This window comes from Homo sapiens, chromosome 7 (genome assembly GCF_000001405.40).
Source record: "Homo sapiens chromosome 7, GRCh38.p14 Primary Assembly".
Taxonomy (NCBI): domain Eukaryota; kingdom Metazoa; phylum Chordata; class Mammalia; order Primates; family Hominidae; genus Homo; species Homo sapiens.
In genome coordinates, this window is record NC_000007.14 from 18,763,440 (window position 1) to 18,789,587 (window position 26,148).

Genomic DNA, 26,148 nt, shown 5'->3' on the forward strand with positions numbered 1-26,148 from the left:
TTTTTAGAAAGTACATTGCTAATATTTGATGATAAAAAATAATGTATACTATCGAATTAACATTGTATATTAATATGAATACAAATAAATCAATCTAAACATATATGCTCATTTTTTCCTTTCTATTTTAGAAACCAGTCTCTGTACATGCAGATACTTTACATAAAATACCTCTTTTGCTGCAAATATTGTATAATAAATGTTCTTATTTTAACATGAATCAATAACCCTACCCAACTAACCAACAAGATGAAGTAAACCAGACATTTTAATTGTCATGATTTTATGAGGTCATAATACTCAAGCATTTAAACATAGGAGACTGTGTCCATGTCATTATTTTTTAATTGAGTTAAGAAAAAACAAGTAGAAAACCTCCCCCCACTTTTTAAAAATCTCTGGTCCTAAAGTATAAATCAACCTTCCAACTTTATTGGAACAGGCTGGGATTGATCAAATTGTGAATATAAACACACATTTGATATTTGAGAAGTGCTCCAAAACAACCATTGTTCCACATTTTAAGAGAAAGGCATATTTATAAGATAAATGAAGTTTAAACTTTTGCAACATCAAACTTTTATTCATAAAACATGGCGATGTTTTTTTAAAAAATTTGACTCTTTTGAACAAACCTATTTTTTGTAAAATATTTGATGTGCATATCATTTTTAAATTTGATGATTTTAAAATGAAATTCCATTTATAATTTTAACTTGGACAAAGGTTCTTTTCATGTATGTATGTGATGAAAGCAGCAAGTACCTATGATTCAATGTTTAAAATTTTAATCTAAATAAATTAGCCATTTATCTCATTAATTTTGAACATATGATGTGAAATAATATTCCTACAGTTGATAATCTTAGAGTTAGCATTCTATACATGTGTGGAGTTTCATATACACTTCTCAGTGATCATTGCAACAATTTCAATATTGTGTGTGGGCTACGTAAGTACACAGAAACAGGGATGTTGCATTCTATCAGGCCTTAAGGTCGAGCACTAAAGTCAACTGTATCAACACTTCAAAACTACTTCTCTTTCCCTAGTGTATCCAAAAGTTTAGCTAATTTTTCTCAATCTCAGTTCAAAGTGAATAATTCTGTTCTTTTTAAAGGTTAACTTTTAATACTTTTTTTGCTCTTTGTGGCATTTGCATTCTTCTGGCTTTTTTTATTGTTGTTGTTGTTTGTTTGTTTGTTTGTATCTGGAAGACCGGATTGAAGCTGCCATATGTGAATGTATAGAAATTCATAATCGTCAAGATGTTTTCTCTCTTTTTATCCATTCCTTTCACTTCCATATATCTTACTACATCCCCCAGTTCCTCCCAACACATATGGGAGATGTCTTTTCTGAGTTAAATTAATGCTATTTCCCTTGATAGTTGTGTTCTAGAGTTAGGAGGAAGGGTTTAAATAAAAGTTCAGTATGATGAGACCTGTCAGTCTTTGTATCTTGAAAGACATCTATAGATGATAAAATAATTGGATTTGAAAATGAACATCATTTATCTCTTTAAATACTCTAGACCCTGTAAGGTTACATGGAGAAGACATTCTCTCCAATTATTTCTGGTGCAAGGCTTTCCTTAGCATTAATATTCCTGTCGCTCTTATGACCAGTTTCCAGTCGTCTTGAGGCTAGCCAAATTTCAGTGCATTGATAAGACAACATAATTAAAAATAAATCCAGTCAGTTTGGTGAAATAAAAGTTTCTTGCCCATTTCTAAATTTAAAGTATCAATTATATGCCTGTTTTGTATTATGTAAACATTCTCCTAAGTAGGTATTAAATAATAGTATTAAATAAAACTCTCCCAAGTAGGATACTTATTTTGCTAATTCTCTTGGGGGTTAATAATTTTTTTCAATTACTCTTAAAAATTAATTTATTGGCTGGGCACAGCGGCTCATGCCTGTATTCCCAGCACTTTGGGAGGCCGAGACAGGAGGATCACGAGGTCAGGAGATGGAGACCAGGCTGGCAAACATGGTGAAACCCCGTCTCTACTAAAAATACAAAAATTAGCCAGGCATGGTGATGCGCACCTGTAGTCCCAACTGACGGGAGGCTGAGGCAGAAGAATCGGTGGAGGCTGCAGTGAGCCGAGATTGCACCACTGCACTCTAGCCTAAGCAACAGAGTGAGACTCCATCTCAAAAAAAAATTAACTTACTATGTTATCATATTATCTTCATTCCTGTTTCTTGACTATTAAGAATTCAGACACTAAAATGTACATATATATTTTAATTTCACAGGTGATATATGAATATACTCTTGCAAAATATTCAAGGATACAGTTATATTTTTGTTAGGAACAACAACATAAGAAAACTTTACTCCTCCCCCAAAATTTTGATGTGCCTTTTACTGGTGCCAATATTGCAGTTTTAATATTATTTTATGATTTTTATTTGTAATTCTATTGACTTCTCATCTTTTTGTTAAAATGAAGATCTCTCTTTATAACTAGATGGCTTCATTTGTACATATATTTTTCTTTATCATCTTCCATCTTTTAGTAATTACATTTAAAAAACCAACTAATATGATTTATTGTTTTCAAAACAAACTGTCTTCTGTGACAATAAAAGCTATTTAGACTTTTACTGACGTGGTGTATGAATTCTACTATAAACCTGTTTTCAATTTTAATTTCTCATTTCATTGAGCATCAATAGAACAAATTAATGGGATAGGTGAATTGGAAATTTGTACCTGGTTCTACCACTGAACTGCTGAGTGACATGTCAGAGTCCCTTCAGAACCATTTGACTATGAAATAGAAATGTTCACTGCCCTTCCCCATGATTACTCCACAGACAGATTTTAATGTTAAAGATGTAGGAGCAGTTACTACTGTTTTTCTCTATTCATGTAGTAGATAACGTAGAAAATAAAAGTACAGGTAAACAAAATAATTACTAAAAATCCCATGAAACACCAGTTCTAAGAGATACTCACAATTCAGTTTTGGGAATATATTTTTAAAGAAGATATTTTATATTGATATTGATGTTATATAGATCCCCAAATGGGATTATTTTTCATAGTGTACTGTTTAAAAAATTGTGGATGTTAGAAGTGGCCTATGGTGTACTTGGCTTTAGCTCTATCTTAAAGTTGATATAGCTACTTATAACCAGCTATACTTAGTTATGTCTTAAGTAGAAATTAAGAATAAGTCTGTACATTTGAGAAGATATGTTAATATTTGAAATATTTTTTAAATGACAGTATATGGTGGCATAAACCTTGTAGCTCAAAACATCCCATTGAATGAATATACTCAGTGAAGAGCTGAATTGGTTAAATTTTAAAAATTGTAATGTATAATATAGACATGGAGACCAACTTAGAAAAAAATCTTGTGACCCAAATCTCATGAGCATGTGTTTATTCATGTGGGGCAATAGACTCTACATGCAATAAAATTTATATTGATTTGCTTTTAGTTCTTATTTGTGTATACAGATAGGCAGAACAATGATATTCTGAAAATTGTGTTGAATAATTGGTCTGAAGTTTTATTAATTTATTTTTGCATCAAACGATAAATACCATGTGACATATTATTATGTGTTAATAAATGCCAACATTTTAAAAATTATATAACCTCCATTTATCTATATTTTTTATGTCTTCTTACTGTATAGGTGATGACTCTCAAAAGTTTTTTTCCTCATTACCTTGTGGTGGACTTGGGGTAAGTACAAGTTGGTTTACTGCCTTTAAATAACATAAAATTACAAAAAAAAATCTTTTTTGATTTATCTATTCAGTTTTAGGGTTATTTCTCAGTAAAAGTTATGCTAGACTTCAGGACTGCCTACTTAATTTGCAGAGCTAAGTGCCAAGTAAAAACGTGGCAGCCCTTGTTAAAAATAAATTCTTAAGAATTTCAAGATGGTGGCAATACAGAATTAAACCAAGAGCAAGGCCCTTCTAACTGTAAGTTCCCGTGTGACTGCACAGGTCACACACTCATGAAGCCAGCTTTGCTAGGCCTTTATATAGCTGGAGAAAAGGTGCTTCAAGAGAGTTTAACACAGATTTGCAGCAGAATTCCATTTTCAATAGAATCACATTGAGTACGCACATACATTATATTCCTGGTGAAAATGGCATAAACTTCACAAAGTGCTTTGCATTATGGGACATTTTGTTTGTGAACCCCTTGGGGACATTTTTGTCTTCAATAATTAAGGAAGCCTTTTGACTCAACATATTTAGACCACATTTCAAGGACAAATTTGTTAGAACCCAGCAACACATGAAGAAAAATGTCTACATTTTTGTAGATGATTAGAACATATCCTATAACCTGAAATCTATTTAAAGTTAACCCTTACCAGTAACAAACCATCATCCTGTAGAACTAAGTGTTATGTTAGAACAACATAATTCTAGGTGAAGTTTTCAAAGACTAAGGTATTTAAGTCAATTAAATTGACTCGATCTTGAAGGGAAAGAACAAAACTAGTCACATGTATATCACGTTTTAAACAATTGTTTTGTGAGAACTAAATTTGATGCAAAGAAATCTTGAATATTTTTAGTTTATTCTATCATTTTGATGATGCCAGATTTAGTGAGTTGTAGCCTTTTGTTCCTTTGCTTGTGATTCTGCTTACTCTGGAAAACAGAATGGTAGCTATATCCATTTGCCTCCGTGAGGACTTACAGTTTGCCGACAAACAAGTTCCAAAACAACCTTGTGAAATAGTCATTAACACCATTTTGCAAATGAGAAAGTGAAGGCTGGGAGAAGCTAAGTTATTTTCCTGAAGTCACACAGTAAAGGATAAAAAGCTGAAAGTATGGGGGTGATGTACACATCCTTGTCGAGGAGTTCCAAAAGAGCTTTCTAGACACTTTCATGGCTTTCATCTTTAACAATCTAGTCTCAGCTTCCCCCCACTCCCTCTGGGTAAGCAGCGCAGCAGTGTGGCTGATGTGGTATAACCCCTTTGTGACAGCTCACCAGTGACTTTTGCTTTTTGACCACCAGCATGGGACAGTCATCAATCCCACATTAATCCTTGCTTATTTTTAGCCAACCTCCTGTGGAGCTGGGAGCTTGCAAAATCATTCTGGAAAGCAGAGGATAAGCTGACTTTTAAAATGGGTTTCATTGGCTTTGTGCTTATTTTCTAACATCTCAAATGGCTGTTTTATGAGAATGGCTGCCTACCTGTAAATGGGGCAAAAAAATGAAACAAACCTAATGACTACTTAATGGGAACAGTGATGTGGAGGAAATCAAAGCTATTAAAAGGGTGGCAGTCATCAAACCCCACTCTTTAGAAATATAGATGATCCCTGAGTTATGATGGTTCAATTTATGATTTTTTGATTTTATGATGGTGCAAAAGTGTTATACATTCAGTAGAAACCATACTTTGAATATACAGCCATTCTATTTTTCACTTTCAATACAGTATTCAATAAACTACATGAGATGTTTAAACTTTATTATAAAATAGGCTTTGTGTTAGATGCTTTTGCCAAACTGTAGGCTAACATAAATGTTTGGCATGAATAAGGTAGGCTAGGCTAAGCCATGATGTTTGGTAAGTTAGGTGTATTAAATTCTTTTTTGACTAAGGACATTTTCAAACTACAGTGGGTTTATCGGGACTCCTTCATAAGTCAAAGAGCATCTGTATATTTAATGTATGACTCAGGACTGAATTGAGGCCATCTCCCTAGGACTCACCTCCCAAATCTGACCTGGGACGTGCTTTTAATTCACTATCCCTTCAATGCGAAGTTCCTCTACTCAACTGCTCTAAACCCAAATTGACTTCTTATTTCTCACCTAGAACTGCTTTAGTAAACTCTTCAAAATGACCAAGGAGTGAATATTGGCTGCTTCCTCTGGACCAGTATATCAAACATAATGCACAGTGTGGGTCATAGAGTAAGTCCTTAGTAATGTCCCTAGAGCTGACCTCACCTGGATGGTGGCAGCAGTGGTGGTGGATAAGTCTGGGGTAGGCCAGCAGAGGCAGGAGAAGGAGCCCTGCATTGTTAGTTTGACTCCATCAGTGCTGGAGAAGGTTGGAGAGATGTGATGCTTATGTAGGTCAGGGTGGGTGTGAATGTGTGTGTGTGTGTGTGCAAGTTTGCACTTGCTGATGCTCTTGTGAACTAGTTTGACTCAGTATTTTTGTTTACAGGAATGAAATAGTTTTCTCAGCCTTTCAAAAGTCTTCTTGCCCTCTCAGATTTTTGGTTTTGGTACAAGCCCTAGGAGAAACCCTGGATCCTCTTGATTTAAGCCTGTCTAAATTTTCACCTCCAGGACAATCCCAGACAGATTAGCTATACACAAGATCCCCAGTATGATCCCGGAAGGCCCCAACTTGGCAGCATGGGAGCACCCTAGAGATTTTGGAAATTACCGAAATGACTTTTGTCTTAAGGCATGGTTCTGTCTCAAATTACTTAAGAGGGACCTGTTGGTTTCCATTCTGAAATACTCAGTGATCCCCAATTGTTAAAGTAAACGCCAGTTCCTTAGAATATATAACTTCATTCTAGAGGGGTTTGATATATACCTACAGAATACGGATGGGTTAATTGGCTTTTGAGGACCCTACCTGGGACATTATGAAATCAGAACATCTCTACTTCTCATTAAAATTTCCCCTAAAATTGCACATGGTAATTTACTGTTGGTCAAGCAGCTCAGTGGATAAATGGTATTTAAGGTGCTGTGAAATGTACTCTCCAGAACTGCATTTCGAGCAACAATGTCAAGGTTTCTGAATTCCTTTGTGTTTGCTTTTCTTTTTGTTCAGTTATTATGGCTGACTCATTTCTGATTCCTGTGTGATTGCACTACAAGAAAATGCACCAGTTGAAAAGAACATTTGACCAAATCCCAGGACTTGGTCATGGTGTAGTAAAATAGATAATTAAGGGACTCTGGAAACAAGAGCCAGTGCAGGATCTCTTCAGTTCTCACTCCTCAGGGTATATCACTAAAAATAGTGATCATTTTCCTGGCCATCTGACCTGCTGCTGTGTGAAGAAATCTTGAAGTCATTTCTCAGCCTCATTTTCCCCTCTTCACTTGATAGGCCACAGAAAAACCCACAAAAGCAAGGACGAGCAGGCTTTTATGATAATGTCGTCATCAGCTCCCAGCTTCAAACGCTTCTGCGGCTTTTGAGTTGTCATTTATAACTTGGAACTGAATCGACCCATAATTCCCCTGATACACTTAGAGAAATTGATAACAGACTCTGCGCTTCTTTTATGGCTCAGAGGAGGCAACTCCAATCACATCACTATTGGCAGGCAATATTATTTTTTGACATGGTTGTAAAAGTATAAAGGGGCTTATGGCATTTGTTTAGATGAGGAATGGGCTCTCAAGCTGTGCTGGGGTTTACAGGACCAGATCAGTGAGAAGCAAAGGGAATATGATGTTTGCAAACAGGATATGATTTTATATAAGTTTGGGTTTCATGCTCTGTTCCCTGGGGAAAGCCCTGCAGACAGCAGAGAATTCCACTTTTATCCTACAGCAGACAAGCTCCCAGGGCCAAAAGGCAGAAAAATAAACGTGGTCAATGGGTAGTGTCAGACCCTTGATTGGAAGAGGAGGAGCTGTGGACGAGGGAGAACAATCCCCTAAGAGGACTGAGGATTTGCAGGGCACGGGCAGAACTGGGACCTGACTAAGTGGTTGAAGATATGCAAAAAGAGGCTCTAAAAGGTTTAATGAAGGCACCTTCTCCAGCAGTGACTCAGTCAATCTGTGAACACAAAGCTAGCTTTTTATTACGACTTTTACTCTGTTCATATTCTGTTTGGTTACACCTAGATCTGACACACTTAGGAATGTCATTTTTGTGATTGGGGAAGGGGAGATGGGGAGAAGGATTAGGTGATTATGAGAGGGTAGTAATTTAAGGCCCATTTCAATTGCTCTGAGGTTTTCTGCAAACGTTTCAGTTGTATATCAACTATACTCACTACGCGAGAGGCAGATTTGGATGAAATGTCTTAAATTTTCTTTTATCTTGTCAGAATTAAAATGTAAGCTCTCCCCTCTTATTTATAAATTTACAGATATGTGTGTGTGTGTGTGTGTGTGTGTGTTTATATATACAAGAAACATTGTATATACACATACATAATCAGGAGAAAAATCTATTTTACACCACATGTGTATCTTCATATTATTTTTCTAATTATTACACCACATTGGTCCTTCACATTTATTCTCCCCAGTACCAGTAAATAGTATTCTAGTGGCAAGCCCTACAAAGAGCTGCTCTGGTGTTTCCCTCCATTATAATACTAGGGAATGGATTTTGTTTTATGACCACATCTATGGACATATAGTTAAACTCAATGCGACAAAAGCTTGGTTAATAATGCATTTTACTGCTGTGATTTAGGATGGTCATCTTTGAAACAAAACCAATATTTTCAAAGCCATAATGTGTGCCATCAGATAAGGCATGAAGGGCAGGAAGAATAAGATAAGGCTTGTTGTTGATGACTAGACAAGGTGCAGCATGCAAAAACGAATGAGCAATGAGACAAGACCACTGCTCTCAATCTCAATTGCTCACAGCCTAGCCATTGGGCTGGTTCAGAAAAATGCTAAGCTATGAGAGCACAGAGAAGGAAGCTTTTAAAACAGCAAAGAAAGAATAGGGTGTGGAGGTTACTCAAGCAGTTATAAGCTAAATTTTCAAGAAGAATTAGCAATAAATGTGTGAGTTGTGTGTTGGGGGTGGTATGAGGACAGGTCATGGGAGGCAGCCAGGCATTGACTGTTCAGGCAATAGAACACACCGTATTTCTGACAATTGCACCAAGCTGTTGCCAATTAGTAGAGAATTTTTTTCTTCCAAAAAAGGAGGGAAAAACCCCACCTTCTGTTTATGCCAAAACTTTGCATGTTCCTGAGGTTTTGATATTGACTCAGGAACCTCTTTCTTCATATGTTATTTCAACCCAATTATCCTGAGCAAGCACAATGCCTTTTGTTACATCAGCAGAAAGAGGAGGGGGTAGCATCTGCTTCTCACATGCAGTAATCAGGGTAATGTTAATTTCCCTCCTATTAATGTTCAACTCAAACCTGGCTTGCAATCAGTACTTCATTTCCTCCACTGTTGCTATCAAAGAGGTATCACAAACTTTTTCCCTCCAGCACAATAAAAGGATCCACCCTGATTTAGAATCTCTCTTTTTTATATCTCCTCTTCCTAACTGTATCTGGATTTTCATCAGCTTCAGACTTGATGCAATTGATACTAGCAAGAACACCCCATGGCACCTGGCAAAATTAAAACTGATAAGCCACCTTAATGAAACTGAGAATTTAGTTTCATGCTGCAAATTCTGTAAAAAGATTATGTTGCCTCAGACTTCGAAAAAATGCATGAAATATTATTAAAGTCAGGGAATTCCTTCTAAATTGCAAAGGAAGTTTCCAGTATTGCATAGATTATGCTAATTGTGTATACTCAATAATAGTTGTTGGGATGTAGACAACACTCCCTACAGAGATACACATGTATACATTACTCTGTGTATGGGACAAAATGTGAAAATACATAGAATCATTAAGCATCTAATGTCCATTGCAGGAAAGAAGAAAATGAGAGAAGAAAACCTTAATTTCCTCCTTAATTCACTTACTTGCAGCATCTCATCTGTGATTAAATTCTTTCTATTGCTTTGACATTATGGCTAAGTACAACGAGATGCATTTTGAAATAAGAATACTTCATTTTCTTATTTAAAGTAAACATGAATATCACAAAGCTGTTAAAATTCTTCTGTTGCCAAAATGAGATGGCTAAAAAAATGCCATCATCAAAGCTTTATTTGTGTTTTTTACATTACTGGGGCCATAAGACCTATTTTTTTAAAAAACTGTATACACACACACACACACACACACACACACACACACACACACACACACAAAAGCACCTATTTCCACCAAAGTAATGTCAATAACAGGGAGGAAGAAAACGATTATGAACATTGAGACAAGAAGAAATTCAGCCTTAGGCTCTGCAGTTGCTGAAGGTAAATGGATTTGATGAAATTTAAATTTCTATCTAACTTAGAAGATCTGTGGCTCGATTAAATAAAAGCTGAGAAAGTAAAACATACTTGAATAGATTTGAAAATATGATCATCTACTGATTGCTACTTCTGACTGCCAAGGAGACGTTAGGCTTAAATCAAATGAAAATTTAGAGTAGACAAAGGAAATGGTACTACCTAAAAAAAAATAATTCTTGTAGCAGCCTGAAATACAGCTATATTCAGGCACACCTAAGCTTTTCATTTTAAGGTGAAGTAACAGCATTTGTATTTTTCATCTGTCATATTTCCACTCCGAATAGTTAGTTCCAGATCCAGATATTCACCCCCGTAACAAACTAATATTCAATATGTAAAACTGATGTGTCATTATTGGATTTGTCTTTGTGAAGTATTTTAACCACAAACTTAGTAAAGCATAACTTCTAAACTTTCATTAATGGAGAACAACAGTTTTTTTTTCAAAATTCAAAACCAAAATAAATTAGCTCACTGAATGCTTGAGCCATAAGCAGGCAGTTCACAGCAGAATCCCTAGGATTTAATCATTCCCCAACTCAAGAAAAACCCATAGCTTCTGAGTTTTAGACTAGCAGTATCATTATTGCTATAGAGTGTCTTAACTTTAAATAAAAAATAATAAGTAAAATAAAGGAATTAAATGACTAAGCAATGATTCTCTTAGCAATAGAGCATGCATTGAGTCATTATTTCTATGAAGACTGATAAGACTATTAAAGGACTAATATATTCGATATTTTTATGCTCCTGAAATCATTTGGTGAATTTATTCTGTTATATTCTAAATATTATGATTTATATAATCTCTAATTGATATTTACTATGGATACACACAGACATACCTTGGAAATATTGCAGATTCAGTTCCAGAGCAACACAGTAAAGCAAATAGCACAATAAAGTGAGTCACACAAATGTTTTGTTTCTCAGTGTATACTAAACTTATGTTTATACTGTCCTGTAGTCTATTAAGTTTACAGTAGCATTATATCTTTAAAAATGTACATAATTTTAAAACTATGTTTAAAAATCCTAATGATCATCTGAGCCTTCAGTGAGTGGTAATCTTTTTGCTGGTGCAGGGTTTTGCTTCAATATTGAGGGCCTTATTCTGGATAAAGCGTTGGCTCAAGGGAATGTGGTTGGGTTGATCTTCTGTCTAGACCACTCAAACTTTCTCCATATCAGCAGTAAGGCTATTTCACTTTCTTAGCATTTGTGTGTTCACTGCAGTAGCAGTTTCAGTTTCCTTTAAAAACTTTTCCTTTGCATTCACAACTTGGCTAACTGTTGGGCACAACAGGTCTAGTTTTCGGCCTGTCTCAGCTTTCAACATGCCTTCTTCGCTAAGCTTAATCATTTCTAGCTTTTGATTGAGAGTGTTGAGAGTGAGAGACGTGCAACTCTTCCTTTTACTTGAAGACTTAGAGGCTATCGTAGGGTTATTAACTTGTCTAATTTCAATATTCCTGAATATTAGGGAATAGGGAGGCCTGAGAAAGAGAAGAGATGGAGGAAAGACTGATCGGTGGAGCAGAAGTCACACACGATATTTATCAATTAAGTTCACTGTCTTATATGGGCACGATTCATGGTGCCCCAAAACAATTATAATAGTACTATCAAAGATGACTGATCACAGATGGGCATAAAAGATAAAATAATGATGAAAAACTTTTGAAATATTGCAGGAATTACCAAAATGTGACACAGAGACAGGAAGTGAGCACATGCTGCTGGAAAAATGACGCCCATAGACTTGCTTAACTTGGCGTTGCCACAAACCTTCAATTTGTAAAAAATCAAAGTATCTGAAAAGTGTAATAAAGTGAAGCACAGTAAAACAAGGTGTGCCTGTATCGAGTATCTTCCTGACGATCTGTAAGCACTTCTCAAAATGACTTGTATCATTTTGAGATGTGACCATTTAAGGAATAAAAACCAAGACCTACAAGTAGCGAAATTCTTTGCTGCTAAATAGATTACTTTTCTTTCCTTAATCTATTGCCTCTAAAGACAATTTACCATCCATTCATTCATTATTAAATAAGCATGTACTGTCCAATACCATCCTATGTGCTAAGTGTGAAGCAACATGTAGACTCACATTTTTTCTTATGTTGTGTTTTTTTTTTTCCTTTTCAATTCCCACTCATGTATCTTGTCATACCTATCACTTAGACTCTGCATTGATTTTCTTCTATTCATAATTGTCAACTCTGGTAGGAAAGGCCTGGGAGTTCATAGGACTAAGGACAGAAGATAGTCAGAATATCCATACTCAGTTGAACCAGATTCAAATTCAGTAGTCTAATGAAACAGTTCTACGAGATGGCCTTCTTGTCTCAGCTTTCTTTGATGGGGGCATCCAATTTTTTGTTTGTTTGTTTGAGACAGGGTCTTGCTCTGTTGCTCAGGTGGGAGTACAGTGGCACAATCACAGCTCATTGAAGCCTCAACCTCCTGGGCTCCAAAGATCCTCTTGCTTGAGCTTTGTTAAGAGCTAGGAGGTAGGAATACAGGTACACACCACCACACATATTTGGCTTTCTTTCTTTTATTTTGTAGAGATGTGGTCTCACTACGTTGCTCTGGCTAGTCTCAAACTCCCTGCCTCAAGCAATCCTGCCACCTTGGCCTCCCAAACTGCTAGGATTAGAGGCCTGAACCACTGTGCCTGGCAAATTCTCATTCCAAGAGCTAGGAAGCGCAGTATCCAGCATCAATCCACAACTCCATTAATAGCAAATGTGGAAGAAGTTCAAAGACCAGTGCTCACTGGTGCAGACTATTCTCTGTGCTTCTGAACTTACTATACTCACAATTTCCAATTTTCACAACTTGGGACAGAATTCATTTGCTCACTTATTTAGTAATTTATTTATACAGCAAATGCTTATTGAATGCCTATTGTATGCCTGGAACTGCAAATACAGTACTGAACAAAACAGAAAACGTTTTATCCTACTGGAACTTATATTCCAGTTGAGGAGACAAATAAGCAAGAATGAATGACTTTAAATATATGTGCATGTATGTGATGATGATGAATGCTATAGAGAAAAGGAAGCAAGGAAGGGGTGTGGAGTCTTGTAGTGTTGGGGCAGAGAACTAGTGGTTAATGAGAAGTGTTGCTTTTTTGGATATTAGGATAGACAGGTGAGGGGTGACCTGGGAGCCCTGGTTTCTTGTGGTGACTGACTTAAAGAGGGGTACAGAGAATAATAAGATCCATACTGAGGGTGCAAAGCAGAGTGGTGGGGAAGCAAGGAAAGTTCAGGAGGTGGAGAGGAGGCTTGCCAAGACTGCTCAGAGTTTGGGGACCCCATCTCACTCTCACTGTTAAAGATCTGTGTGTCTAGAGGTAGGGTTGTTCTATTCAGAACACACAGAGCTTCTGGTCTTCCTTCTGACAACTGGATTGAGGTGTGGCAATAGATGATGAGAGGGCAAGTTGAATTTCTAGGCACACGCTGAGATGCTGACATTTCTCTTCAGAGCTGGCTATGGAGGTATAGAGAAGGTTGGGGGTGGGGGCACACTTACTCAGGCACTCAAAGATCTGGGACTCAGTAGCAGGCCCTGGGCTGTGAGATATCTCTCTGGGTAGTTCCAGATCTTAGCAGCACTGTGTGCTTTGGGGTTCCAAGTCCCTGGAATGTTATGTGGACATACTTTTCTTTTTAAATTGGGCAGCTGCAAATTATATACAGTACTCCAACACCTGCCCATTTTCAAGTCTAATAAAAATGTCCTGACATTTGCATGACCTTTGCAAGTGGGTTGGTTTTTTTCCTTGTGCATTTTAGTGTCTTCTTGAATGACATTGTCACATTATGGCCTCAGTTGCTCTGGCTGGTCCATCCTGATTTATATCTGAACTGTGAGATTTGGGGTAACTGATTTGTTGGTCCCATTGTGTTGGTGCATAGAATGGACCAAATAATGATGACGTCTCAATTTCTATATGCCCAGTTTCGTGTTGTATTTATATAGTGCAAGAGAGATAAAAGTCTGAATTCCAGGGTATTTTTACTATTGACAATCAGTTTCTGATCCTCAGCATCCTCAATATTAAATGAATAGAATCAAGAAAAAAAACTTGGCTAAATTTTTTAGGATTATGCTTTAACCATTTTAGCAAAATAATAATTCTCGACTTTGACCCCAGTGGTATTCAGAGGATTGACCTTAATGATGGGATTATCCATCAAGTAAAGGGACAGGTAAGGTGCCCTAGATTAGGCTGGGCAATAGAGAATCCTGCAAAACATACCCTCCTGATTCTCACAGAACCAAGAGGGCTGATTCACAGCCTCACAGCAGAGACTAGCCATTCTTTACACAAACCTTCCAATGATAACCTGCCTCAATCTCTTTTAAATCCCAAATAATCCCAGAGGTTTTATTGCTAAAGATGCAATTGAAGTTTCCTATTCTACAGAAAAGGAAACAAAGGCTCAGAGAGGTGAGTATCTTGTTCAGGTCATAGAATTAGTAGGCCATGGAGCAGAGAGGGCCTGATTCCCAAGCTTTTAACCACAATACTATGCACACACAGCACAACTCACCATAATTTCAACCTCATATGATTGTCAACACTCCTTTCCCAAGTGAGAATAGCCCTAGCCGTAAGAAAAAAACAATTGCTATTTTTGCCAAGAGCATTCTCTTTTTTATTGAAATTCCTATGAAGTATTAAATCCATGCACTCAAACATCATCAATTCTGGGTAAAAAAAAAAATTACACAGCTATACATAGTATTTCAACCCTAACTAGAACACTGAAAAGTCTCTGTCCTTGGACCAAACCACTGTGGGATGAGATAGAGAGAATCTCATTTCACACACCTACTGAGTCAGAGTTAATTTTATTAAGCTACACTCTGTAGGAATGAGGCTCTAATGTGCACTGTCCAGTGAATAAAAAGATTGGCATATTTTGAAGCACCCTTTACACAGTGTGGACATCAGATTAAATGAAGAAACAGTAGGAAAGTACTAAAATGGTATTTCTTGGCTCTGTCTCTAACTCAGTCTTGGTAGAACTGACCAGCAGTTCACTGAAATTGGATAACAATAGGGACTCTCAAATTCCTTTACTGGTCTTTACTGGCCACATAACCCACAGGAATCCATATATTACTTGGTAAATCTATGAGTCCCCCGGATCTTAAGTAAGGATCCTTAGAGTCTCAAGATGTAGCCCTTTCGCCAGAGCAAACATATTCCTCTCCTTATTCTTGTTACTGGCAAGTAAATAGCAAAAGGCAGATTTTTCTGAAGATAAAGAGTGACTAGAAATTGCACATGCAAGGTCAATGGAGCTGCCAGAAAGCAGTTGATCATACCGGGAGATGGTTTGTGGTAGAGCATTAATGCACATGGCATGCCCCTTTTCTCCTCCAGCTGTCACATTAATATTTCACACCTTCTTTCCATATGGAATATCAGTCACAGTATTCATTCATCATATCCATGGCTTTACTTGGAATCTGAACGTCTTCCCTGTAGCTGCTCTGTTTCTTTTTCATCTCACCATGACTAAAGAAGCTAAGGTGTGGGCATTATAACCTACAACTGATCCCAAAGGAATGGGCTGTCATTCATGTCTTCCTTCCAATGTTGAACAAAAGAGAGAATGCATGTGGGTTCACCCACCCATTGTTATCATAAATCCATCCCAGCTCCATTTCAAGACTCTCAGGGTTTCAGCAGAACATCTAACACGAAATGAATATATACATTCAAGGAGCTGGCATGTTGTATCACAAGGGAGAAGGGAAAACACCCATTGTTACAGCCTCAGAGCTGATTGAAAAAGAATGCAATAAAGAATATCAGAGGTTCTCAGACCAGAATCATGATTCTCATTATTATCCCACAGGAGGAGAAAAGGGACAGTCACCCAGAATTAGAGAGGGCTCTAGAAGTTTTGAAGTGTTGACACCTAAGCGTCCACAAAACTGCTCGGAATAGTTTTATTTTAGAAGTATCCTGCCCAGCCTGAGTCTGAGAAACCAGCAATGCAAAGGCTCTGTTAATTATTATTTCACTTATCTGAGACTTGGTTTCTTTATCTATGAAATAGGGCTAAGCAAGGCTCCCACATGGTATTATTGTGAGGATCAAATGTGATAATGTAGGTTATCACTGGCAGCTATATGTGGTAATGAGCACTGCACCACCCTGTGGGGTCACCTTGAGTAGATTCAGGTCTGCAGAGGGTAAACAGACTCCCTGATTTAAAGGTTCTCCAAAGCCCTGCAACCCTGAGGTCTCCACCTGACCTACCTATCCAACTAATAGTCTACCATTAGAATCAAGGCACTGCAGGGAGACAAATAAAGGGAGGGAGGACATTGCTTTCAGAAATCCCAGTGATTAGGCATCTAGGCAGAGAGCCTTCATTTAGGAACTCCGGAATCTGGATTCAAATCTTTACGTTGTCACTGCTCCAAAAGCGCTTTTTCAACTCTAAAGTGCAGATTCCAATTCAGCAGGACCAAATGCGAGCTGAGATTCTGCATTTCTCATAGCACTCAGGGATGGCATTGCTACTCATCCGTGGACCACATTTTGAGTGGTAAGATCCTGTAAGACCATGGACTCACAAATCATTGAAATGACTGGGCCTCAGTTCCTTCACCTATGAAGTAAGGTGATAAATGAAATGTGATTTATTGTCTTCTCTGGGGATCAAATATGTCATTACTGTGTGATAGTACTTTATCCAAATTTAAAACAGCTTTTTACAAAATTCATTTTTCTTGAGAGATCAGATAGCAGGCTCCCATTAGCTTGTCACTGGGGATCTTGTTGACTTAAGTCTTACACAGTCTGTCTCCCTTGGGAAAATAGTGAGTGGGGAAGCTTCTGTGAGAGACAGGGGTGATGCATGACAACAGAGATCCAGGGCACTGGGGACATCACAGTTGTTGTTGGATGATTCAGTGAAGAAGCATCATTGTAGGATGATGCACCAAAGGAAGCACCCAATGCTGGCAAGCAAGAGCTAGTAGGCTATACCTGGTGCAGACTGAAGATGAGAGAAGCAGTCATCACTACATCATGGATGTATTGCAGGGCCCAAACAGGGGTGGTGTTTGGAGTTTAGATAGTTTAGCCACAGTAAAGCCCTGTAAAGAACAGTATCACTATAGGATTCTTTGGTTCTCATCCTTAATTCATTCCCTCGACAAAATTTGTTAAGCATCTATTATGTGTCAGACCTTGAAGAAAGAGCAGTAAAGACAGACACCCATAACCCTATGCCTAGGACACTTGCACTAGCCCATTGTGTTCTAAAGAATCAACAACACAGAATATCTTTTTAAAGTTCACATCTGTATTTGGCTAGCTAGGGCTGTCATAACACAATACCACAGATTGGGTGGCTTAAGCAACAGGAATTAATTTTCTCACAGTTCTGGAGCCTAGAAGTTCAATATCAAAATGTTGGCAGATTTGATTTCTCCTAAGGCTTCTCTCCTGGGTCCTTGGATGACCTTCTTCTCATTGTGGCCTCACAAGCTTTTCTCTGTTCATGCGCATCCCTGCTGTCTCTTTCTTTTCTTATAAGGACATCAGTCATTTTGTATTAGGGCCCCACCCTTATGATCTCATTTAACCTTAATTACCTTTTCAAAGGACTTATTGATTGCTGAATACAGTCCCATTGGGCTTAGGACTTCAATATGCGAATTCTGAGGAAACACAATTCAGTCCATAACGATATTAATGTCCAGGGTTGGCTTTGGTTGAAACCCCAGCTCTTCATCTCATCAACTATATAACTTTGGTCAAGTTACTTAACCTCTTTACAGTTCAGTTTACTCTTCTGTAAAGGTGACTAATAATACTTTTATAAAGCTCTCATGAGGAATTAAATAGGTAGTGTTTGTAAAGTGCTTAATAGGGTCCAGCACCTAGTAGGTGCCCCAATCTTACCCACTATGCTGTTCTTTAAATACTGACCAAAGATATTTACTTTTTGCTTTCTTTGGGCAATAGATTTGACTTTATTACCTTTTCTTGTGAATCTACTAATAAATTAGGCTTTTCTTTTTCTTGGAACCTCGCAACTCACACCCCTTTTCTTACCATTTCCAAAAACAAAATATCTACTGGAATCATCAGCTTTAGCCCTAATTGTAAAGGATCAAGGATAGGAAAATGTTGAGCTTATCAAATACCACTTAGGTGGGAAAAGGTAATTATTTTGTTTCCCAAGGCAAACACAAAAAGAAATTTGGCATTAGAAGATGAAAGTAGATAATTTTTAAGTTACCAAATCAAGATGCTGTTTGCAGAAATATTTGGTCCACAGTAGATGATTCATTTAAAAAATACACTTTACCTGACACAGTGCAAAAGTTAAAATGATTTTTATTTTATTTTGCGGTTTAGCTTTAATACAACCTGCTAAAATGGCACAGAATCAATACTGCAATGAAAAACCTCTGTTTCTTTGTTGAGTCTGGTGTCTGTCAATAGGTTTCCAGGGGCATCTGATCATTATTTAAGCTTAAACTCAATTATTCAGAAAATGCCCTGTGGCCCTAGCGTCAGCATAAAATAGCAGCAAGACCTTACTAAACTGCTCAGAACTGGGTGAAGAGTTTCATTTCCCAACTTTCAGGGTGAAATGTTCAAGGCATCTGAGGAAGGATAGTGTACCACATTAAACATGCACAGTGCATATGAAACCTGTTTTGTTAATGGGCACAATAGTATTATATTTAACTCTGGGAATATTTCCACCAGGAAGCAACAGGCTGCATTTAGATTATACAAAGGAGACTGTGCCTAAATTCCTTTTCTTTTAAGTCATTCCCTTTCCGTTTTAAATACCTTCACATCCACTTTCAGGACAGGTAGCTTAATTTCTATCATGTGCGGCTTTTCAGAGCATTAGCTTTGTTTCAGATTCCAATGATTGAGCTATGCTGGATGTGCTTGGAAAAGCCTGCAAAGACCCACATTCACTCAGGAAACTACAGTTGAACTAGATCCATATGTGGCTAGAAAACATGTAGCTTTCTGATTGGAGGTAGTTCCTGGCTTCCAGCATTATCACAGATGATTTTTGTCCTTTGATGTGCTGCGAAATAGAAAGTAATGTTAGAAGCAAAATGCGGGGATTTTTTTTTCTTAGTTACCATTGACTGAGAGCTTACTGCTTCCAGCATCGTCTTGTGCTGTGTTAAGCACTTTATATGTATTGACTGATTGAATGCTAACAATAATCCTATGAGGAAGGAGTATTATTCCATTTTTCTTAGGTCACGGATCGGTGAATGAACTTGCCCGTGTTTGAATAGTTTGCAAGTGGAACTGCTGGTTTACGAGGTCTCTAACGCTAAGGCAACAAAATAGATAAGGTGCCATTGCACCAAATGTCAATGATGTCCTTGCCAATGCTACCACCTAAAAGAATAGGATAAAGTAGAGGAGGATTTGCCCAAAGCTTGCTTCCTTTTAATGTCTGTTTAAAAGTATATTTAAAGCCTAACAATTTCTCGAAATCCTGGGGTTAAACCAGTCTGTAGGTACCAAATTTTGGTGTATGACTCAAACAAATTATTGGTAGTCATTCTCTCTTGGTACAATTTATGTTGATAGGTGTAACTTATTAATACAAATTCCTAAAGCATTTCTAATTTTACTTCTGGCTTCACCTTTTCTTTCTATCCTTTTATCCAAATAGAACTCTTTCTTTAAACAGTTTGCAAAGAAAAGCATTTCTCTATGAAGTTAATGCTTCTCAAATTATTATGTGGTAAGGGGCAAGGTTTTGTTTACTTACATTTCATTTCCTATATCTGTTGTGAAGAAATACTTGTATATGAGGCAATAAATACAAATTACTAAAAGTGAGATACAAAAGACATAGAACATAAAAACTCCAGTTATTTTTTATTAGATTCAACAGATCATGTCTGGCCTTGTCCTCAGGCAGAGGCTGGAATCCTTCAGTAACACACCTCTGTAAGAGTTAGAGGACTTCTATTCTCCCAGGGCACTGCCCTGAGAAACCTCCTTGAATTAAGCTTTGATGGTTACCACACAAGGAATCAACTCAACTAGTTCTGCTGAGACTTTTTTTTTTTTTTTTTGCCTTTCCCGCTTTAGAATTTTCAAACTTTGTGTGAAAATAAATCACCCTGGGTAGCAGAAGTTATGCACTGCCAGGCCAGAAGCCATATTCAACACATACATAGATTTCTCTTAGCTTGGCTGGGGATTTTTAAGTGAATTATTGTCAATATTTAAGATAGAAAAATTGCACCTAAGAATACAATATTTAGGGCTACTAATAAATACCATGCTATCATTTCCTTAAGACAAAAATTGTTTGGAACTGTGTAGCCATTGTCCTTTTAGCTGGGACACAAACACTCCAGTCAACCATAGTTCCAACCAGAGAACCTGTCCCTCATCCCCAGTTACCTGACATTATGTCTATGTCCCCATTGTGGCTTTCGGTGTCATTTGAACACGTGGCTACTTCTTTAGCCCTAATCTGTACCCCTTCTATATTCGAGTCTTTCTGGGTATTATTATTATTATTATTATTTGGTTCTTTGTCTCTGTCTGTGGACTCATGGACACTACTTGATTCCAATACATATAAGACAATTAATCCCTTTAACACCAAGGAAATCCTCTCCTCTCCTCTCCTTTTCTTCTCTTTTCTTTTCTTTCGTGTCTCACCTTGTTACCCAGACTGGCCTCAAATTTCTAGACTCAAGTGATCCTCCCGCCTCAGCTTTCTGAGTAGCTGGGTCTGTAGGCACACACCACCAAAAGCTAGCTCAAGAATTTTTTTTTTACAACCTAGTAAACATTTAATTTATTCCTGATTCAAATCCGAGGAGGCATTTTAGAAGAGAAGGTTGCTACTATTGCTCTCAGTGTGAACAATAAGAGGACAAAACAAAAAACAAAAAACAAAAAAAAAACTGAAGGCCACCAGGTGCTTGCCCCAGACATTTGCAGAAGCACAGAGACTTCTGGATAGGAGAGCACTGAGGAAGCATCTTTATGTTCTTGCAAAATCCTGAGTTGGTCATGGGTTTTTATCATTTAATTCATGTTCTTAACTCACAGTGGAATAAAGAAATGGTGTAAACAACGGTTTTGAAATGTTATACCCATCTCTCAGCTGCTCAGAATCTGTTTCAAAGATAGTGAACAATTAGAAGGGTGGGTTACTCAGAATCAGTGCCCACATATATTTCACTTAACAGAATGAATCATGGCCACTCAAAGGCAGCAGACTTTCCATGTACTCCCAGCCTGCCACGTGTGTAGTATGAACCCAACATTCTCATGAACAACAGTTTCTCAAAAACTTGGCTTTTAATAGGTAGCAATTGCTTGTGTGTGTGTGTGTGTGTGTGTGTGTGTGTCTGTGTGTGCATGTGTGTGTTTTGTATAGACTCATAAATTATATGATGTTCCTTGACCCTTTATTTTGCCAATGATATTATATAATTATTTCTTTTTGAAATCATCAGATAAAATTGCAGTACTTTCCTTTGGCGTATTAAGGAGTGGTAAGGTGAGAATGAAGCAAAGGAATGGGAAGAACTATGAAGAGTTTTTACTGGTTCTGTCACTAACATTTGTGACACTTAAGAAACCAAGGGCAGAACAATGCTTAAAAATAAATATATAACAGCATTGATTCTGTTCAGTAGACAGAATTATTTGGACAAATTCAGGGAAAGGACACTGATTAAAGTTATTTTTGGTTGTATACCAAAAAAAAAAACCATGCATCGTAGGATGCGTAGTGGCATTCCTGGCTCTATGCACTAGAAGCCAGTAGCACACCTCCCTTACTCAGTCATGACAACAAAAAATGTCTCCAGAAAGTGCCAAATGACCCCTTAGATGCAAAATCACTGTCATTGAGATCCACTGCTCTACCATAATAGCAGACAAATCACAACACTCAAGAAAAGCTCAACTCTTCTAGGTACCACTTGAAACATTTGATTTAAAAAAAATATTTTAGCACTTTTAACAGGGTAGGGTTTCAATACCGTGAAAGAAAAAACATTCTTGCAGGTCTTAGCTAATTTATTTAATTAGAAAACTCTTTATGCATATATGATTAGAATCTGTTTTTTAAAATACCATTTTATTATTTATTTTACTTTTTGGATTTTGATTTTACTAGCATAAAAATTACTATGGGCTAACAGCTCATAGTTTTCTCAGTTCTTTTTCTACCTTCTCTAATTACTAGCTGAATAACCTCTGAATTTCATATATAAAACTGCTTAATAATAGCATCTACATTAATGGTCGCTGTAAGAATTGTATTAGTTACTATGGGCAAAAGCTTTGCACAGTGCCTGGATCTTAGTAAATACTCAATAATTGCTAGACAATAATATTATTGTTATTGTCATTATTATTTCTAAATAAAAAGAAAATAACTTTATAGAGTAGGGAAGTATATAATAAAACTGAAAACATGGACTGTTAAATTTTAGTTTTTTATTACTTTCTCTATGTATTTTCTGAATTGCATTCTGCTATGACTGAGTAAACGAAATCATGTTTCTGCTATTCATGTTCCCTAAGTTATGTTTAACTCAGCACTCATCCTTTTTATCCCTTATTCTGGATCACCACTAGTAAGAGAGATTGCAACATGTTATTCTTCTTTTAAATGTGAACAGCATTATGTAGTAGCTAAGTTTTAATAAATAGATGTATAACTAGCGCTTTACTGGCCCTAACTCTTTATCCTCTTGTAGTCCCTCCATGCCTCCATAGAGAGGAGTATCTTCCTAATTATTTTAGGAGCTTCAGGTAATGCCTAATGTGAATAGTACCATGTGCTTCTGAATGCAAGATGTTTTTTCCCATCGCCCTTTCCTTCCTTCCTTTCGTCCTTCCTTCCTTTCTTCCTTCCTTCCTTCCTTCCTCTCTCTCATGTACTTTTTGCTCACATACACTTCCTGTGTCCCCTGTTTCTGTCACACCTCTTGGGTATGGCTGGCTGGCTTCCTTCCTTCCTTCCTTCCTTCCTTCCTTCCCTCCCTCCCTCCTTCCTTCCTTTCTTCCCTCCTTCTTTCCTCCCTTCCTCCCTTCCTTCCTTTTTGCTCACATATCCCTTTCTGTGTCCTCGGTTTCTGTTGCATGCGCCTCTTGAGTCTAGCTTTCTTTCCTTCCTTTTCTTTTTTCTCTCTTTCTTTCTTTTCTTTCTTTCTTTCTTTCCTTCCTTCCTTCCTTCCTTCATTCCTTCCTTCCTTCATTCCTTCCTTCCTTCCTTCTCTTTTCTTTCTTTGTTCCCAGTGAGTACTGCTGGCCCCTGCTGATGCACATTACCGATATTCTGGGGTCTTTACATTGCCAAGTGCTCAGGATTCTATGAGGTTTATAGAGAAACAGAAAATGTGCTTCCTTCCCTCTTTTAAGGTCATAATTTTTCAAATTGATACCAAAGTGTTCTACGTAATTCTCATGTTTTTAGAGGGTTTAAAATGTTTTGCCTATTTTAGTTACTTATAATCTCCTGTGTTTCTCAACCCCTTTCTACCCTATTAGATAGACAGGACTCTGGGAGTGTGGGTTGGGAGAGAATCTCAATGAGAGATTCTGTACTACTTCAGATTGTGCCTCCTCCTCTGATGACTAAATCTTTCTTATGGGCCAAGCTCCTGTGACTCTCACCCTAAAGTGGGGTTCTACTCAATCTCACCGAGTGTGTTTGTTCCCTCACACAGAAAGACTTTTTGTGGAATAGCTTCACTTACACTTCTCAACCCCAGTTTTGGATGTATGTTAGGTCCAGACCCTCCTACATATTTATAAAGTGAGTTGAACTTTGGGATGCCTATTTCAAAACTGATAGATTTTAATTCTGGCAATAAAACAAGGCCTCTGTGGACCTATTTCTCAGCAGACTACTAAAGCTGCCTTCATGCTTGGTACATTAGTTACATCATTAGAAACATTTGAAAGTTAAAAGCATACTGTTTTTAGAATGGTACATAAAGCAAGGCTTGGTAAAGATTCCAGAGGAATCTGAAGGTAGGAATATTTAGGGATTTCCATACTGTAAAATACAGTTAAACCTCACTAGCCTGTGTGTACAGCATATCCTTAGAGACTTCTGCCCAGAATCCTGGCTAGATTTTTATCCCTGCCATTTGGCAAAATAAATTCCTGACCTTGGAAATAAATGGGACACAATATTTCCCATGCTCCCTCAGATGTGTGATGAATATGTTATTTATTTTTTCTCCCAATTATAGTGATCCTCTCCATAATTAATAATCTATCAGCCTCTTCCAGTTTGAATAACTTCCTTTCAGTTTAGAAATACTGTCTTTTCAAGATCACCTTATTATTGGACTTAATGTCTTTAGGTAATTGCTTAGCCTCTCAGATTCCTCTTTGAAGATGGCATTTGGGCACCTGAGGGAGGGATGGAGAGCTGAAGGGGTACCTGGATCCTCCTGCTGTCCTCTGAACACTCAGGGTTCCATGGCAACCTCTCTGCACCACCTGACTCTTCCTGAAGTTGAAGCTGAGGTCGGCAGCAGATTAACTCCTGATTACTGACTTCTCTGCCAGCTGGAGCTTGGCAGGGTTCCCGGGCTCCAGTAGCCTCCCTTTGGCTCACATTGGTAATGGGGTTCCTCTGAACCCCTCTGTGGACTCCATTTGGCTCCACCCATAGTTAAACCATTTCACAGGCTCTCCCATATCATACCCCTTGGAGGATTGTGAGAACTTGAGACTTCCAGCTGCACTCTACAGGAACCAAGAGCATCTCAGGAATGCTGTAGCTTAATCTTCCATTAGTTTTTCATACCACTCTGCAGACTTTATTATATGGTGGCCACAGTTTAGTGTAGACATGACTTCAAAAAGTCCCAAATATTGGCTGAACGCGGTGGTTCACACCTGTCATCCCAGCATTTTGGGAGGCTGAGGCAGACGGATCACCTGAGGTCAGGAGTTCAAGACTAGCCTGGCCAACATGGTGAAACCCCATCTCTACTAAAAATACAAAAATTAACTCAGTGTGGTGGCGGATGCCTGAAATCCCATCTACTTGGGAGGCTGAGGCGGAAGAATGGCTTGAACCCAGGAAGCAGAGGTTGCAGTGAGCCAAGATCGAGCTACTGCACTCCAGCCTGGATGACAGAGCGAGACTCTGTTTAAAAAAAAAAAAAAAAAGACCCAAATATCAACCAAAGTGAAGGCTCACCGACCATTTTGTCAACTTACCTGAAACATTTTTCTCTCTCGTTTGCTCACATGTCGCTTTCTGTGTTCCTTGTTTGTGCCGCACCCCTTGAGTCCAGCTTTCTGCAGTCTTTCAGGACCAGAAGAGATGGATTTTAGGTTTTCCTTCCACTCAATGTATTCTATATGTACCCTAATCAACAAGCATGCCTGGTTGTCACAGGTAGAAGGGGTCTCTACTCTGAATCATTCAGAGAAGAAATAATCATATTCTTTCGATGCTATCACTAACACAGGACCGTGATCTGAGACAACCAGGTTCAGTTCTTGATATGTAAAGGAATTTGGGAAAATATCATCTCTCACCACAAAATCTGTATTTTTATGTATATTGAAGCAAAATCCTGTTTTGGTCATCATTTTCTTTACCTTTCTTCTATATCCATCCTAATCTCCCTTTCAGCTCATGTACTATTACTCCTTAATGCACACGCAGACACATACACGCACACACACACACACACACACACAGTCTCTCTCTCTCTCTCTTTCTCCCTTTCTCTCTCTCACTGGGAAAAAGAATAAGTTGTTGGAGAGACAAAGGAGAATTTATGTGCATGGAAAGAAAAATGACAAAGCATATTTTTTCAGAATATAGTAGTTCTATTTTTAAGAATTTGCCTTGCATGTCTTCTCAACTTTAGCAAGACCTTAGTAGTAGGCCACTGTGCTCAGGGTGGCTCCCTGCTCCACTGTCATTTATTTCCTTTCCAGCCTCATCTATTACATCTTGCATTATTTTTCCATT

At 37.7% G+C, this 26,148-nt stretch overlaps 1 protein-coding gene across 6 annotated transcripts in view; it reads left to right on the forward strand.

Annotated features, from left to right (window-relative positions):
- HDAC9 (histone deacetylase 9) overlaps positions 1–26,148 on the forward strand; it is a 915,592-nt gene that overhangs the window by 676,615 nt on the left and 212,829 nt on the right. For all 6 annotated transcript variants that reach the window (NM_001321868.2, NM_178425.4, NM_001321877.2 and 3 more), the window contains one exon: positions 3,667–3,716. In NM_001321868.2, coding sequence (NP_001308797.1) covers positions 3,667–3,716 — 50 coding nt within the window. The remainder of the gene's footprint in view (positions 1–3,666; positions 3,717–26,148) is intronic.